Below are 16,835 nucleotides of genomic sequence, written 5' to 3' on the forward strand. Positions count from 1 at the left end.
TGGGGAGGTAATAGTCATTTGTTTTTTCTTGTTGCGTGTGAGTTTTGTGATAAAAGTGACATTTACATAATTAATTTGCTATGGCAAGAAAATGTCTAAAGAGTCTTTTTCGTTGGTAGAAAGCTTGTGAAAGATCAGGGAAAAGATCTAACATAACGGGAATGGTGATTACAGCTGCTTTTCTATTTAAGATGTGCAATTTTGGTAGCATGTGTTTTGGGCCAATACATTGTTTCTAGACACTTGGAGTCATTTTGGGTGGCCTTTTTTTTTCCTTTGGTAGCCAAAATAAATATTTTTCATTAATAAAGAAAGATGCCAGAATATCTATCACTTGATTTTACTTGGCTAATTTGAACTGCTATTTTGTGGGGAGCGGGGGGCTAAAGAGGAGGCTCACTTTAAAATGACTGGACTTAATATCATTGTTATTTTTCCAGTAGGTTCTGGCATTAAAGGTCTCCCTTGGGGAATGATTAAAACAGTTCTGTGGAGCATTTCAAGGCTGAGTAGCATCTCATATATACTCTAAAATAAGTTTGCCTAATGACTTTTTAGCACCACTTGATTTATGTTTTGGCTAAGAGTTCTAAATAGTAGTAGTCCAATTACTTTTTTCTAGGAATATTTACAGACACTACATACTGTATTGTTTACATTATTGACTTTTAACTTTACAGTAGTTTAAAAGGTGTAAATGTCTTTATGCTTAAAACAAACAAACAAACAAAAAAACACTGTTTTCTGCCACTGTTTTCTCTATCCTGTTCCAGGATAGAGACAGTTCTCTCCCTTTGTCCACCCACATGCCTGGGTTCTGGGTCAATCTGTATAACTAGACGTATCTTAATTTGATTACTCTGGGGTGTATTTTTGATGGTAGTGCATCATGAAATTACAATATAGGTGTGATCTTGGTTGAAAGATAAAGTACATTTTAGATATTTTTAAAAAATTTCTTTAACTGAAAAGATTATCTGTTAATTGTGAAAGAATACTCTTATTTAATATGGCCAAGTGGTTCCAGAGCTTGATACTTTATTTTTCTTTTCCTGATAGGACACTAAATCATTTCCTCCTAACTACTAGAATGAATAAAGAATGTAGTGTATACTGTTCCACTATACTGTGAAATTGCCTGTGTGCCTTTCTGCAAATGTAAAGTAAAGAGATTGCATAGGTAATCCTTAAGCTCTAAAACTGAGTTTTGGAGATTCTACTCAGGAATTGGGACTAGGTTATTATTTGTAAAAGACAGCATACACGCAACATTTTATATATTGAAGGGATCAGGTACTCATTCCAGGCAAATTTTGAATTTGATGTAAATAATTTTTAACTGAAGCAATGAATGTGTAATTATGCTTTTACTGTGTGTATTTAATTTTCTGCTAAGAGGTAGTAAGGCTATAATATTTGGCTTATGCTTTGGACAAAAGGAAAGTTCTTTGAAATTTTGAATTTTTAGGTTCTCCCTGGCAAATATTTTGATTCCTTGTATTTTTGGAAAATAATAATCATCTACCATCTTCCAGTAGTGCTTTTGGAGCTTTTTTAATTGAATGCAGCCTTTCTCAACCAGAATTCCTCATCTGAACCATAAAACAGAAAATGATTTTGAGTTACTGTCTTCTCAATTCTCTCAAGAAGGACATATAAGGAAGCCCAATTCTAGATGCACCGGAGAGCAGTTAATTTTTTCATATAAGGATTCTTTAGGGTAGCAGTGGTCAAACTACATCTAAGGGCCAAATACTGTCTGTAACCTAGTCATGTGAGGCCTGCAAGCTAAAAATATTTTTTACATTTTAAAAGAGTTATTTAAAAAAGATGTGACAGAGACTCAGAGACTGTAAAGTGTACCTGACCCACAAAGCCTGAAATATTTAGCATCCAGCCTTTACAAGAAAGGTTTGCCGATCCCTGCCTTGGGGCATTAAGCCCGACTGAGAATTGCTGATGTAAAGAAAGGAAGCATTTTATAGTACTTTCACTGAGGTTGTGGATATAGTATGACAATAGAAAAGATTTTCACTTTACTAAAGTAACTGACTTGCCTATTGGTTCCATTATTGTGATGCTTAATTCAAGAAAAGCCCTCAGATCAGAGTAAATAGGCAGATATGTTTCTGTTTGCTTTTTAGAGATACACTTTAACCATGGAATTACATAGAATGTTGTATTGGTAATGACAATGAATGATAAATTACATTTATATGTTTGTGTGCAGATACATTTTAGTATTTTTCTCGGTTTCTAGAGAAAGAAAATAAAAATGGGAGCATTTTATAAAGTAATATAAGGGAGGACAGGGGAGAGGCTTAATTGCTTTTATCAGTATTTAAAATTAGATGGCCACATCTATTAGAGAAGGAAAGTGAATAGGGAGTGTTAAGTGTCAGATATAATCACATTTGTTTCCTCCTTGTACTGAGTAAGTGTCTTCACCCTACAATTAACATCTCAGGTAGCTTGTCTGAAGTAAGGAGAATAATACTTAATCAAAAATGCATTAAAATTATTAGATCATAGCATATGAAATAATCAGGCTTTACCAATGCCACTTGACTACTTGATTTAGTGGGGGAGGTACCATCCACCATAAAACACGTATTGGTATGTCACAATTGTCAAAGGAATGAAAATGACCATCAGGCATTATTTGTAATTTGCTGCTGATTTCCTTTATCTCCATATTCAGTTAATCATGAAGTTCTATCAGTATTTTTTTTCCGCAAAATATCAGACATCATCTCTTCTTTTGTCACACTATTCTTTTGTCATTAAGTAGACTCAAGGCTGCGTGTACAGATGATGCAGTTACTTAAAACACAACCTTTATTTTTTCACTCATCTGCTGAAAGCTTTCAGCGGCTGCCTACTAGCCTGACCAGAAATTCCAAGGAAAGATGAGTCAAGCCAGGCTTGCTGAGGTGGTCAGGAAAGGCTGTACTAGATAGCTGAGCTGGCTTTCAGACTGGGTGTAAATAAGGGAAAGAAAGAGGAGAAATGAAATTAGCCAAGGCAAGAAATAACAAAGGGAATTCTAAGGTTGCGTTTTCCAAAATGTTTTATAAGTCCTTTTGGGGTAGGCAGTGAGGATTTGTTTGATGAATAGTACTTTCTCCCTGGTTAGGGTTGTAAAATGATAGGGTACAAATGAACTCAAGTTGTAAATTACTGATCTTTTAGGGTAGACACTGTTCCAATCATTTTAATTACTTAGAATTGCTCATCAAGCAATTTAAGAACTAATTAAGAAACTTTGTCATTTATCTCCATCCTGAGGTTACTTATTTGTGATTACTCTCCCCACTCCACCCCCAGCTAGAAATCACTCAGTATAAAATTTAAAAAAAAAGCCAAGTGTTTCATAAGGGTCACTTCCAGTTCTAAAATCTTACTGCATTTTTAAGTTCCTAAACAGACTATATAGCATTTTTTTTTAAGGAAAAAGATCAACTTTTGTATATGTATTCAGATTTAGTACTAGATGTTGATTATCCCAATTGGAGAATTACAGTTTTGTTAAATTGATTTCTAAATAGACAAGGACTATAAATATCAACTAATATAATGCTTTATATTTATATTAGCAAAAATTAACTTAGTCATATCTGTGTTGAGAACATGGAAATAGCTTTATGTTTGAAATGATATTTGTTAAAAGATTCAACTCATTAGTAGATATCTCATAATTTCAGTAGCATTTTCTCCTCTATTTGAACATTTAATTTGTGCTTTGGTAATTTCAGCAATGTCAGCACAGATCAATGGGTGTAAAAACGGGTGAATTTGTACCTCTAGAGATAGGGATTAACATATTTACAAGTGCTATTGACAATGGGGACAATGGGGTAGGATGGAGATAGGTTTCAGAAATCTTAGTTCAAGAATATTTGGGGACCTTCAAGAGGAGATTAACTCACAACAAAAAGTAGAAGAGTCTTCTAAACTGAAAGTATTTGGGAAAGTGAAAATATGACAATATTTAGTGCTTTTTCCCCAAAATGAGTGGTATTCCCTATGCAAAGGAAAGGGAATAGCAATAATAAAATTGTCACTGAGATTGCTGAAATCTCAGCCCTGTATTGTTAATGTAAGCTACTTTCTCATATATATTAACTGTATCGTGGTGTACAGTATGGAGCTTTTATGCTCATTTGTAATAGTTCTTCTTAGGTTAGGTTTTCAGGTACAACTATTTCACACATACACACACACATACTTACCATTTTACTTGGTTTTTAAGTGTATTCTTATTTATTAATGCACTGTTCCAAATCTTTTAAAGAATTAGATAGAGTAATAAAAACTAACAATAAGCATTTGTTTAGCCTTGCACACATATACACACACATAAACACAGACTTTGATGATATTTTTCACTTTGGGAAAATGAAAAGGTGATTATTGAAAAATTAGAGACCATTCTTTTGTTCAATAACCTCCTCTCTTTTTGCCAAGATTAAAATCATTTCCTATTGATGCCATCATGCCATCAGTATCATTTTCTTTTGATCATAAAATGTTAAAGCCAGCAGGACCCAAGAGATAATTTTCCCTAGTCCTACGATTCCATTGGGTAACTCTTAATAAATACTATTTGATTAAATTCATTCAGAATATATATTTGATTAAGGAGGAAAATGTTGGAGGGAAATTATTCTGCAGCCACTTTCTCATTAAGAATGAAAAGGTAAGTCTATGTAAAATTCCACTTTTTCAATCAGTGTTAATTTTCTAAAAGAACTCATGGTGTTAATAATTTAGTGCTGTGCTTACAAGCTTCAAACATATTGATTTTAATTGGAGTTCCACATCTAGAAGAAAGATAGGCAGTGAGCAAATCAATTTTGTTTTAATCCAATGCATTTTAATAAGTGTGCTAAAAATTCACCATAACATTACCCATGATAGTTCGATATTTGCTATAAGGGGCTGCTGCCTTAAATTCTAACCAAAGGCATTTATTTCTGAAAGTACTAGAATGACATCCTTTTATTTTCCCTCTAATATGGATAGCATAAAATGAGGCTCTCAGCATCTGTCACTTCAAAGTGCCCTGTGTGGGTTTGGTTAAATAATGGCCTGAATAAATTAGGATACCTGTTTTATCATTCATGTATTAACAGAGTCTTTGTCTTTCTTTCATTGTATGGCCTTTTCCCCCTTTCCAAATGAATATTTTATAGTTAGGGCTTGTTATCAATCCCAGGCCATATTTATGTAACCTCCTGTTTAGTCAGTAATAATCTCTGTAATTTTAACATTAATGCTCCTGGTTAAACCTGACGCCTGGTTGAATTGTGTATTTCTATATGTATTTAGCACAATGAAATTAAAAGAAATTTACAGCAGAGTGGTATGCAAACTGTGGCTCTTCAAGGCCTCTAATCTTTGCATTAGAGTATGAAATCATCCTGGATGCTCCAGGACATACAGTAGACATGTGGTTCTGGTTAATAGTGATTGTAGATGTGCTTCTAGAATCAGATTTATATATACCACTGATATGCATCCTTGTGTATGTGGCTGCTACCAACTCTTCTTTGAGTATAGCTCCGTATTCTTTCGAGAATTGCTGTTTTGCAACACAAATAACTGTCTCCAGTTGAAGGAAAAAAATCTCAAAGTTGTGACTTCGCAAAGTTTTTATTATGTTAATCACATGAAAATAGGGATTGACTTAAAATTTCATACCTATGTTAACATCCGTCAGTTTACTGAATATAGTCTCCCTTTCACCAAAAGTCAGAAGTCAAGTTGCAAATGAAAAGATAATCACATGCCAAAGATTTCATTTTAGGAGGGACCCCAGGTAAATACCCTGCAAACATCCAACGGCCATGGTGTGTAAAGGGCCCTACTGGATACTGTGAGGATAGCTGGCACTGAGTAAGGCAGAGCCCTATCCTTAATAAGCCTGCTATTGAAAATAGAAAGTCATGGCAATGAAAGAGAATGCAAACATAGTAAAATGTGTGCTCTAATGGAGGCACAAGTAAAGTCCTGTGGGAGGGCAGAAGATGAAGCAATGGATTGGTTAATCAGGTTCCCCTAGGGGGATGATAAGGCTTGTTTTGTTTTTAATTAAAGATGCTGCGATTTTCAGAGATGGAGAAGGAGAGCAAGGTATTGTAGACTGAGAAAATGGCATGAGTCAAAGGCTCAAAAATTTAAAAATAGAGTCATTTCCTAATGGATCACTGTATTTAAGTTTGTATGTCTAAGGTATTACCTACTGAAGCATTGGGCTTGAAATATGTTCAGATATCCCTGGAATTTTCCCTTTGGAAACTTAGTTTCACTGGATGTTCAAATTCTCTCTCTCTCTCTCTCTCTCTCTCTCTCTCTCTCTCGAGATCTATATATATATATATATAGAGAGAGAGAGAGAGAGAGATCTATATATATATTTATATATATATAGAGAGATCTATATATATATTTATATATATATAGAGAGATCTATATATATATTTATATATATAGAGAGAGATCTATATATATATTTATATATATAGAGAGAGATCTATATATATATTTATATATATAGAGAGAAACGTATATAGATCTACATATAGATCTATATAACATCTATCTATATAGAGAAACATATATATATGTTACTTTCTGAGTACTACTTTATGTTCTGAGTGAATTTACTTCACAACTAGGAGAGAAAGACAAATAAAACTTTAGGTCCTGTATGAGCTGAACTTATTAGGTCCTTATTTAGGTCCTGTATGAGCTGTATGAACCCCTTGACTTCCTCCGGGATAGTCACGTGTATATAATGGGACATGGCCAGTGTGAAGGATGAGAAATCAGTCTGGACAATGACTCATTCTGCTGCTCTTTATCTATTCTTGGTGTCTAGGCCCACTTCATTACAGTGTTAGAGTGTTGGGGCTTGAATACGGTCTACTAGTGATTTTGAATTTCTCACTGGAACAATGGCGTGGTATATAATTTTCATTTGAGCTATTGTGTGCTGTTATAGGCTTGGCCACATGACCAGTACCAATGAATCCATTACCTTGTTTCAAAACTAGGGTTGGTGATTGCTAGTGATGAAGGAAGGGGAACAAAGGGACTTGGCTTCTAATACTTCACAGATTCACACAGCTTCAGAGCAGTAAGGGATTTAAAGATTGAATACACCTCTCTCCCTCATACAGATGGTGAAATCGACATTAAGTCACTGATTTCTTGTAATTTTCAAGATAAGCAAAATTAAGTCAATTTTTTCCTGACCTCTCTGCTCTCTTTACCTCTGTAGTACTTATGAGAAACCAGACCTCCTTTTTCCTTTGGAATGACTGTAAGGTCAGAGAGGAATTAGCTAAATGATGCAATGGAATTTGCATCCAGCATTTATTGTGATGATAGCCTTGACTTTCGGTTTATTGAGAGAAGAATGTGATTGTTTGCAGGATGTTTCCTTCCCTTTACCCATGGATATAATTAAAGGTTTAAGGGAACTTCAGATCCCAGAGAGTTAGTAAAAAACAAAAAACACAAAATTAGTTATTTCTTTTCACTTAAAAGGGCTTATATCCAAAGATGATTTACCTGGTTGAACAAAATAATCTGACGTTTCTACTTTTAATTAAAATAACAGGAATGTGAAGACCTCCATATTTGTGAAATGGAGCTAATGAAAGTGCTGCCTATTATGACTTTGGTTCTTGCTTGAGGATTTTTAAGATAAGGAAAGTTATTAAATTTATTCTCGTTCTTTCCATATTTCATTTTTCTTTGGAAAAATGTGATATGTGGTTAAGTGACAATAGAATCAAAGAAATGTCTCATTCTTCTTTACTCCATTGTAAAATGAACTGTCTTACAAACATGTAAAGAACAGCATTCTTCACATCCCAGAATGTATCCTGCTTGCTTTCTTGTTCTTTTCCTCTGATCTGAGCTGGGGTAAAAAGAGGAATGCAAGTTAGCAGGCAGAGGAAGCTCTTTTCCTATCCTCTCGTGAGTAGGAGGAATTAAGATGAAGGAATATTATCAATTATTCTTTTGTTCTTAAAGATGAATTAGACTCAAAATTATTAGTCAGGAGAAACTCCTCAAACTGCTATGTTATTCATACGCTATGTCAAAATCTTTTGTAATAATTTTAATGAAGTTATCCTTTACTAAAATATCTCATTCTAAGTATTTTTGCTAATGAGATGCATTTAAAAATAAGAATAATAAAATAAAGAGAAGATGAAAAAGTACCTATACAATTAATTTTATTTCTGCCTTATGAACACATTTTTCTTGCTGCTATGCACAAAATTGCTGAAAGTTTAAACAGTTGCCTTAATAGTATGAAATAATACTGTGTGAGACCTTTGACTTTATGCTTCACCATTGAGACCAGGGTTGGAGTGCTGTTGCCTCATTCGTCTCAAAACTGCCGTTTAAGTAGGTGGGTAAAGATAAGGAGTCAACTGTGAGTTGATAAAATGCTGTCTGATGACCACAAGGAAGCCCAGGGTTGATGTAATGACATATCCCTACTACATTTCATTTATCTCATTTCATGCATGTAAAATCTGGGAATTTGACTGCTACTTTATGTTGCAAAGGCAAGTTATAATAAACTTTGAGAAAGATGTAAAAATGTAAGTATACCATAAAAATAGGTAAGCTAATAACATTTTCATTGTACACTTAGTTAAAATATTTTGAGCCCTTATAAATATGGAAATACAAATTTAAATGACTGTCCACATAAAGAAATTTAACCTGAAGCCAAATTCTTCATGTTTAATTTGAAACATATACAGACATACTTAATTTTTATCTTAGTTCTTATTCTGTCATATGCAAAATACAGTGGAGCTAAGTATTTCACTTCAGAAATATAAATCACAGGGATCTCTAAAGAATTCCATAAAATTTTATCTGATAACTTGTAGTATGAACCTGAAGTTGTGCAAAGTAAAAAATTACTCTGCTAACATCACATTTTTCAAAGGTTGAGAAAATTTTGTGGGGAGTTTATTTTATCCTTCTGATTATTAAAGTAATCTGAGCATGCATGGTCATTTGAACAATTCTAGGCCTGCATAAACCTAGCACAAAATTAACAATTGATGCTAAATGTTGTTTTTTATTCCTGGACAATTTCATCAATTTGTGGGGGGTTTTAAATGAACAGAACTGGAAACCTTAGTATTAAGGGTTACTGAAGTATACAACAAATCACTGATAAAGCTGGAATTGGAGCTGTTGGATTCTTGACATTGGATCCTATGGGAATCATGATATGGAATGGCATCACTACTTTATCTCCTACACTCTAGAGGCTAGCCCATTCCAGCCTAGTTATTGACATGGAAAAAAAAATAGTCTGAGAAATGCCAGAAAGTCAAGATTACTTATGAATCATTTTTCTTTAAAATTGTAATATGAAATATTTGGTAGTTGTGCATACATATGAGGGCCAATCAATTGCATAGTGGTTCAACAATTATTAAAAAATTGCATCATTTTCACCAACATCTTTCCCACCAAACCCCAACCACCACAGTCTGGTTACCATTCTACTCTAGTTCTATGAGGTCAATTTTTTATATTCCACATGTGAGTGAGATAATGCAGTATTTGTCTTTCTGTGCCTAGCTTTCTTCACTTAGCATACTGTCTTGCAGGATCATCCATGTTGTTGCAAATGATTGGTAAAAGGATACAAAATTTTAGTTAGGAGGAATAGGTTCAGAAGATATACTACACAACATGGTAATATAATTAATAATAATACATTGTATTCTTGAAAAATACTAACAGAGTGGATGTTAAGTGTTCTCACCACAAAGATAAGAAATATAGCATGTAATGCATGTTAATTAGCTAGATTTAGTCATTTCATGATGTATATACTGTATATTTCAAAACATCTTATTGTATATGATAAATACATACAATTTTGTCAGTTTAAAAAATTAATAAAAATTATATCAGTTTAAATATAGAAAAGTCCTATTTTAAATTTTTTCAATTCTTTTAAGTTTACATTTTTCAAATTCTTTAAGCATTGGGATAGTACAGAGTAGACATTAGACAATTGTGTGATCTCTTTACGATGGAAAATAATTTTGCTTTTATAGCAAAAGGGGTTATAGTTTAAATTACAAATAAATCCTAGCTGTAGTGAAGGAACCTTAGACATAACAGTCAGGAGATCTGCGTTCAGATTTAAGCTTTGCCACTAGTTAACTACCTTTTATCTTTGAACAATTTGTAACCTCTCCAGGGTATAGTTTCCTCCCTGTAAAAATATATTTTGGACAAGTTTGCTAAGTTCCTGTTCATCTCAAAGATTATCTAATTCTTTTAATTTCAAGAGTCTGTATCTCTTCTTAATTTCTCTAAGACTTACCATTTTAACATAAATGGCCTTAAATTACATAGCTTCCATTTAGTGATCCTAGCCTAGGACAAAACGGGTATACAATAAATGCTTGTTGCTGATGGTGATGATAAAGAGTTGGATTGAATGACCTATATACATTTCCTTCCATTTCTAAAAGCCCGTGATTGAGAGAGCAGCCAATTGTATATGGATTATATCTGGCACTTAAAAAAGATAGTGTCCTGTTTTCTCGAACTCAGCACTGGTAAGAGTTATACGGCTGTTGACATTAAAATTCTGTTTTTTGTTTGTTTGTTTGTTTTGTTTTGTTTTGAGAAAGGCTCTCACTGTGTTGCCCAGGCTGGAGTGCAGTGGTGTGATCATGGCTCACTGTAGCCTCGCCCTTCTAGGCTCAGGTGGTCCTCCCACCTCAGTGTGCTGAGTAGCTGGGACTACAGGCACGTGCCACCATGCCTGGCTAATTTTTTGTATTTCTTTTTTAGTAGAGATAGGGTTTCACCCTGTTGCCCAGGCTTGTCTTGGACTCAGCTGAGCTCAAATGATCCACCTGTCTCAGCCTCCCAAAGTGCTGGGATTATAGGCATGAGCCAACTGCACCTGGCCTAAATCTCCTTTTTTTTAAAAAAATGATATCTTGATTAGGAAACATTCAGCAAACATTTTAGGCAATGTTCATAAGGGCAAGTGAAAAATCTTAACACAGGCAATCATAATAGAACAGTAATTTAATTTGAGGCTCATAAACCAACTAGAGAATGACTTTTATTTATATGCATTCTGCTTCTTAGATGACAGGAAACTGTATATACATGGAAGTAATCCAGAAAAACATTTCGTCTCTAGCCTGGGAGAACTGATTTGATCAATTTAAACAGGTAGCTAAATATCTCTAGTTTAGTACATTGTTAGGCTGAAGTTTTTAGTTGCTCTCTGTGATTGTCAGGGCACTTTGTATTCACTGCAAGTCACTCCTGGTGTTCCCACTTGAGGACTTCAAGGAAGTAAGAAATCTTCTTTTAAGCCTTGATATCATTAGCACATTATTTGCTCATTATTTCCTGTAACACTCCTCCTCATCAATGAGTCACTGATAGGCCTATATACAGGCCAGTCTTTGTAAAGTGCAAAAAGTTATTTTATAGCTACAGCATTCATAGTATGGGCTTTATTAATGTAGGAAGGCAGGTGCAAAACAATTCAACCTTACTCAGCTTGGTTCTTAGTTCTGGAAGATTCTTTTAGGATACGTGAGTTGAATCCTTCCAGGTCAAATCCTGTGAGAAATCTGCCTCCTCTTCCTTACATCTATTATGTTTTCACTCTCAGTCCCAGAGTCTTACTGGGGGTCTTAGTTAGGTAGTTCAAATTCAAAGAACTAGATTCTTTACCTTGGTTCTTTCCCACATTTTGCTCTCTAGGTCCCCATTCTGCGAGAACTCCAAGACTAATTCTAAATCCGTCTTCAATGTTCTTGTTTCTCCTGGCCACCAATTCCTAATGCCCCCCTCCACAAGTTGACCCATTTTCTACTAACTAGATCTAAAATTTTATCCTTCATCAATGTTGGCTGTTATCCTCAAAACTCTGTCATCAGTCACATCTTAACCTATTATAGGCCCTATCGACAATACATAGACTATATTGGGTATAAACAATGTTTAAGAATATGTATACAAAGTGTACGGGATATGTTGCTTGTGTTTTGACAAACATTATGTTTCTAATCTTGAGTCATCCCTCGGGATTCCAGGATACCTTCTTCTGCTGTGTATACCAAAATTGGTGCATACTCAAGTCATGCAGTCGACCCTGCGGAACCCACATATATGAAAAGTCAGCCTTCCCTATACATGGGTTTCACATTCTGGAAATATTGTATCTTTGATCTGTGTTTGGTTGAAAATAAATTCGTGTGTAAGTGAACCTATACAGTTAAAACCCATGTTGTTCAAGGGTCACCAGTGCTAATTTTAGAGACATATCCTTAGAAGAAGTATTGCAGACTTCATTTTTAAAAATATAGGTATGTATAGTAAATGCCAAAGTCCTCTTAGTTTTACTTTAATCTCCAACTTGTCCACTTTTAATGTACAGAATTAGATGAGACCCATATGCTTGCCTGGGAAAAATAAGGATAATGGGTTCCCTGTAATCAAGGATACAAATTTCACATCCATCTGCTTAGTGGTTCCCAAGTGCTGATGTCGAGACTAGTGTTCAAATGACTACACAGGAATCATTTGGGGTGCTTTTTCAGAAGTATTGGTTGCAAGGCCCCAGTCTCAGTAGGCTGAATCAGTAGTTTTGGGGTAAAGCCTAGGTATCCACATTTTAAAAGTGATATAGGTAGTTCTAATTTATAGCCAGGATTGGAGAGCACCTAGAGAACTTGTAAGAGTTCTTTCAGCTGTCTGTTTCTGTGGTTTAAGTATCCAAGAAGGCTTCTTCTATCTGCTCCTTACTTTGCACAGGAGACAAGCAAGATGTTCACCTAACATTGTTTCCTTTTGGACTTCTTCAGAGTATTTCCATACTAAATAGTTGTTGTTGTTATTGTTGTTTTAGTGGTAATGATACCTTCTGAATAAGACTTAAATTTCTAACAGTGTACTTATAGTTGAAGAGTGCAAATTCAAGTTAAATAACAGATAAAACAGGGCCAAGGAATAATCTGATTGCCCTGAGGAGGTGGATCTTTGAGGTTTTCATTTTCGTAGCCCTGTTTTGGTATGGCACGCGGAAATCATCTGTCATTAATAAGTCAATATGAGCTTAATTTAGCAGTTCCTCCTATTTGACACTACAGAACATAGAGCTCTTTTTTTGGGGCAGCTTTGAGAAGGCAATACAAATGCAGATAGAGTAATAAATTGTGATTTTTGCAGTAGAGGTAAGGAATATTTAGCCATTTCAGTATTTTTTTATTATTATACTTTAAGTTCTGGGGTACACGTGCACAACGTGCAGGTTTGTTACATAGGTATACATGTGCCATGTTGGTTTGCTGCACCCATCAACTCATCATTTATATTAGGTATTTCTGCTAATACTATCCCCCCCAAGCCCCCACCCCCTGGCAGGCCCTGGTGTATGATGTTCCCCTCCCTGTTTCCATGTGTTCTCATTGTTCAACTCCCACTTATGAGTGAGAACATGCAGTGTTTGGTTTTCTCTTCTTGTGTTACTTTGCTGAGAATGATGGTTTCCAGTTTCATCCATGTCCTTGAAAAGGACATGCACTCATCCTTTTTTATGGCTGCATAGTATTCCATGGTGTATATGTGCCACATTTTCTTTATTCAGTCTGTCATTGATGGGCATTTGGGTTGGAATTTCAGTATTCTTAAAAGAATATTTGATTTGGATGGAGAGGGAGCTGACTTTTCTTAGAGGTTCCAAAGAATGATGGGAATGATTAGGCAAACTAGATTCTTTGTTTAGGTGGCTTTTAATTGCATTCCTTGGGATGCTTGCTATTTATTTACTTGATCTTTTCTCTTGTGCTAAAAGCAGGAAGGAAACCTGTCTTAATAAAGACTTAGGATACTTTGGTTTAAAATGATGAAGGGGAAATTATAACTTTTGTATTATCTATCAGGGATTCAAGATTAGTAAATGGGGCAGGGGTCTCTATCCCTTAGCTAGTTAGGGAAGTGAGGTTATATTAGTGAAATCTTGTTTTCATAGTTCCCTCCACTCTGAAAGTTGGTGTTTTGTAGGAGCATTGTTAGATGCAAAATAAAAGAGTAGGAAGTGCAAACATTGTATAAATGATGGATCTTTCTCTTTTTCTGTGTCTAACTTGCTATTCCTCAATTTAAAATCTTAAACTATATCCATGGATTAGAGTTTACTTCAGTGCTTCTTTAAAATGCAAAATGTGACCTCGTTTTAAAATTTTTGATTTACATATTTGCAAGAACCCATTTATTGTAGGAAGCAAGGAACAGCCATATCCTCCCTGAGGTTGACTGTTTGAATCAAATCCTTTTAAAACACTAATTAGGAAGTTTAAGTGTTCATTTTTGTTCTTTAACAACAGAAGATTCTTGTTATAAAGTTAATGAATACATACACTTCCCAGAATGTCTTATCAGAAGATATATCCTATGTATCTTCAAATAAATGATACATTCCCAAATTTTAGAATTGTTTTATAACTGTATCAGGAAAACAGAAATATTTTTTTCTAAAGGAAGTTATAAGGAGGTGAACCCATCACCAAGCTATGTAGTAAGTATTTTTTCCACAAGGTATTACAAAGCCAAGGACCATCACCAAAAGTAGGAAGAGGTAACTGTGGGTTAGCCACTATGTATTAGTAGTCACAATGAAATACAATGTCTTGGTAAAAGAGGACACCAAGGAAATCAATAATGATGGCACTCAAGTTTTTGAGAAGGTATTATAACCAAATATGGGCATTAAAAATGCATTTGCAACCTACTGGAAGCCTAAGCTATTTTTAAAAGCCCATATGGAAAGCTCAAGATGTGTTTGTTCCATGTGGGTACTGGAGGTGGGTGGGGATACACAAGTAGCTTGCAGTCTCAGAGACTTCTATATGGAAAGCACAACTTTTAGAAATGGAAAAAAATCCAATCAGAGAGAATGGGGAAGCTTATAAGGTAAACAGGTCATGTACAAACTGTATTTTAGGCTGTGTAAAAAGAGAACTTGGTGAAATTCTTTAAAAGCAGTCATGAGTTTTGGAGTTACCTCAAAAGGTAGTGGTTTACTGGAGTAGTAGTGTGTCCATTTGGTGATCATGGTGCAATGAACTTGATAAGAGAAAAGCAATATTTTCAATGCCCTCTTTGTCTAATAAAGGAAGATAAAAGGGACATGCTAACTCCATAATTGTCTTCTGAAATTGATGATGAAGTGAAACTAAGTAAAACTGTAGTAAATGAACAGCTATTCTAGGTCCAGTTAACAAATTAGACATGATAGCTCACCAGAACTTGATAGAATCCTCTTATATTTTGAAGGAACTCAAAGTTTTTGATTAATAAAGCACTTAATGTGCTTTTGGCAGGGTTGGCAATCTTGAGTTTCTACTTGATCAGCAGTATATTTTCAGCAAGATGAATTTAAGTAAGTATATAAAGTTTGTCTTGGGGTAAAATTTTAATTCAAAATTGTATATTATAAGATACAGAATATTTCTGAATCAGGAAACAACAGTGAATTTATAAATCTACGTCATGCCTATACATTTGTTAACCTTGAAAGCCTATGCTTATTCCAGATTTTATTGTAGTGAAGTGTTAAATTATTCTGGATCTTCACTGTGACATGAGTTGTGAAAAGTTCAATGTGTTACCATTTTCTCATGATTACTAGCAATTATTACAAAGGTATAGAATCTTAGTTCAGCTATTGATGATAAGATTACATATAGATAAGATTCCAACTAATGAAAAACAAAGACCTGTAAAGCCTGGAGTCTTTTGTGGTCTGTGTTATTTAGATGGCGGTTTGGAAGTGTAGCTAAGATGATTGGGATATCCGAGTTGGAGAGAGAGGAGTGTTAAAAGGTAATATTGGCAGAATGTTAGAAACTTAAACAGTTCACCTTAGCTTAGGTTAGATATTCTCCCACTATTGCTACATTTGCATTAATGTGTAAACTGTGTATAATCAGCGGCTTTATTCCAAAAAGTGCCTGATGTTTTGGCATGCACTGGATATATTTGCTGTGTGAGAATGTTTGTGATAGCAGGATCAGCTAAGCTCAGTTAGTGTGTATGATTCACTAGAATATGGACTAGCTGCCTGTTTGGGATTACAGTTGTTCTAACAAAGCACATGTGGGGAGTCAGAGGAGTTTGTATGCTTTTACAAAAATGTGTTATTGTCTTATGTGATTTATTTTCCTTCATTAAAAAAATTTGATTCAAAACATTTGTGTTCTTTCTTTTTCTCGTTCCCCACTCCCTTCAGAATAACATAGCTGATCCAGAAGAACTGTTCACAAAATTAGAGCGCATTGGGAAAGGCTCATTTGGGGAAGTTTTCAAAGGAATTGATAACCGTACCCAGCAAGTCGTTGCTATTAAAATCATAGACCTTGAGGAAGCCGAAGATGAAATAGAAGACATTCAGCAAGAAATAACTGTCTTGAGTCAATGTGACAGCTCATATGTAACAAAATACTATGGGTCATATTTAAAGGTAATGTGTGTGCTGTATTATTTAAGTCATAAGGTATTTTCATTAGAAGTTTTTTAATTCTATTTTTTTGAAAGGCAATGTCTTAAATTAGGATTTGGCAGTCTATGGCTTCCAGGCAGAATCCAGCTCCATTTATAGTGCCAAATAAACCGTTGTTAGATTTAGCAGCTGTATTCTGAATGCATCCCAGTACTCAGCTGCACCCCTTTTCCACACCTGAACTTTTGGTTTGATGGAGGAGCAGAAATGCAGCTGGTCCTGGAGACATCTCCTTTGT

General features: G+C 34.7%; 1 protein-coding gene across 5 annotated transcripts in view; it reads left to right on the forward strand.

Moving 5' to 3' along the window:
- Window positions 1-16,835, forward strand: part of STK26 (serine/threonine kinase 26) — a 52,642-nt gene that overhangs the window by 15,002 nt on the left and 20,805 nt on the right. For 3 of the 5 annotated variants that reach the window (NM_016542.4, XM_047442155.1, NM_001042452.2), the window contains one exon: window positions 16,328-16,558. The exons of 1 other annotated variant lie outside the window; for it this stretch is intronic. In NM_016542.4, the coding sequence (NP_057626.2) occupies window positions 16,328-16,558 (231 nt within the window). Of the gene's footprint in view, window positions 1-15,419; window positions 15,479-16,327; window positions 16,559-16,835 lie in introns of all 5 variants that reach the window. One more of the 5 variants, XM_047442156.1, reaches the window with a different exon arrangement.

This window comes from Homo sapiens, chromosome X, assembly GCF_000001405.40.
Source record: "Homo sapiens chromosome X, GRCh38.p14 Primary Assembly".
NCBI classification, from domain to species: domain Eukaryota; kingdom Metazoa; phylum Chordata; class Mammalia; order Primates; family Hominidae; genus Homo; species Homo sapiens.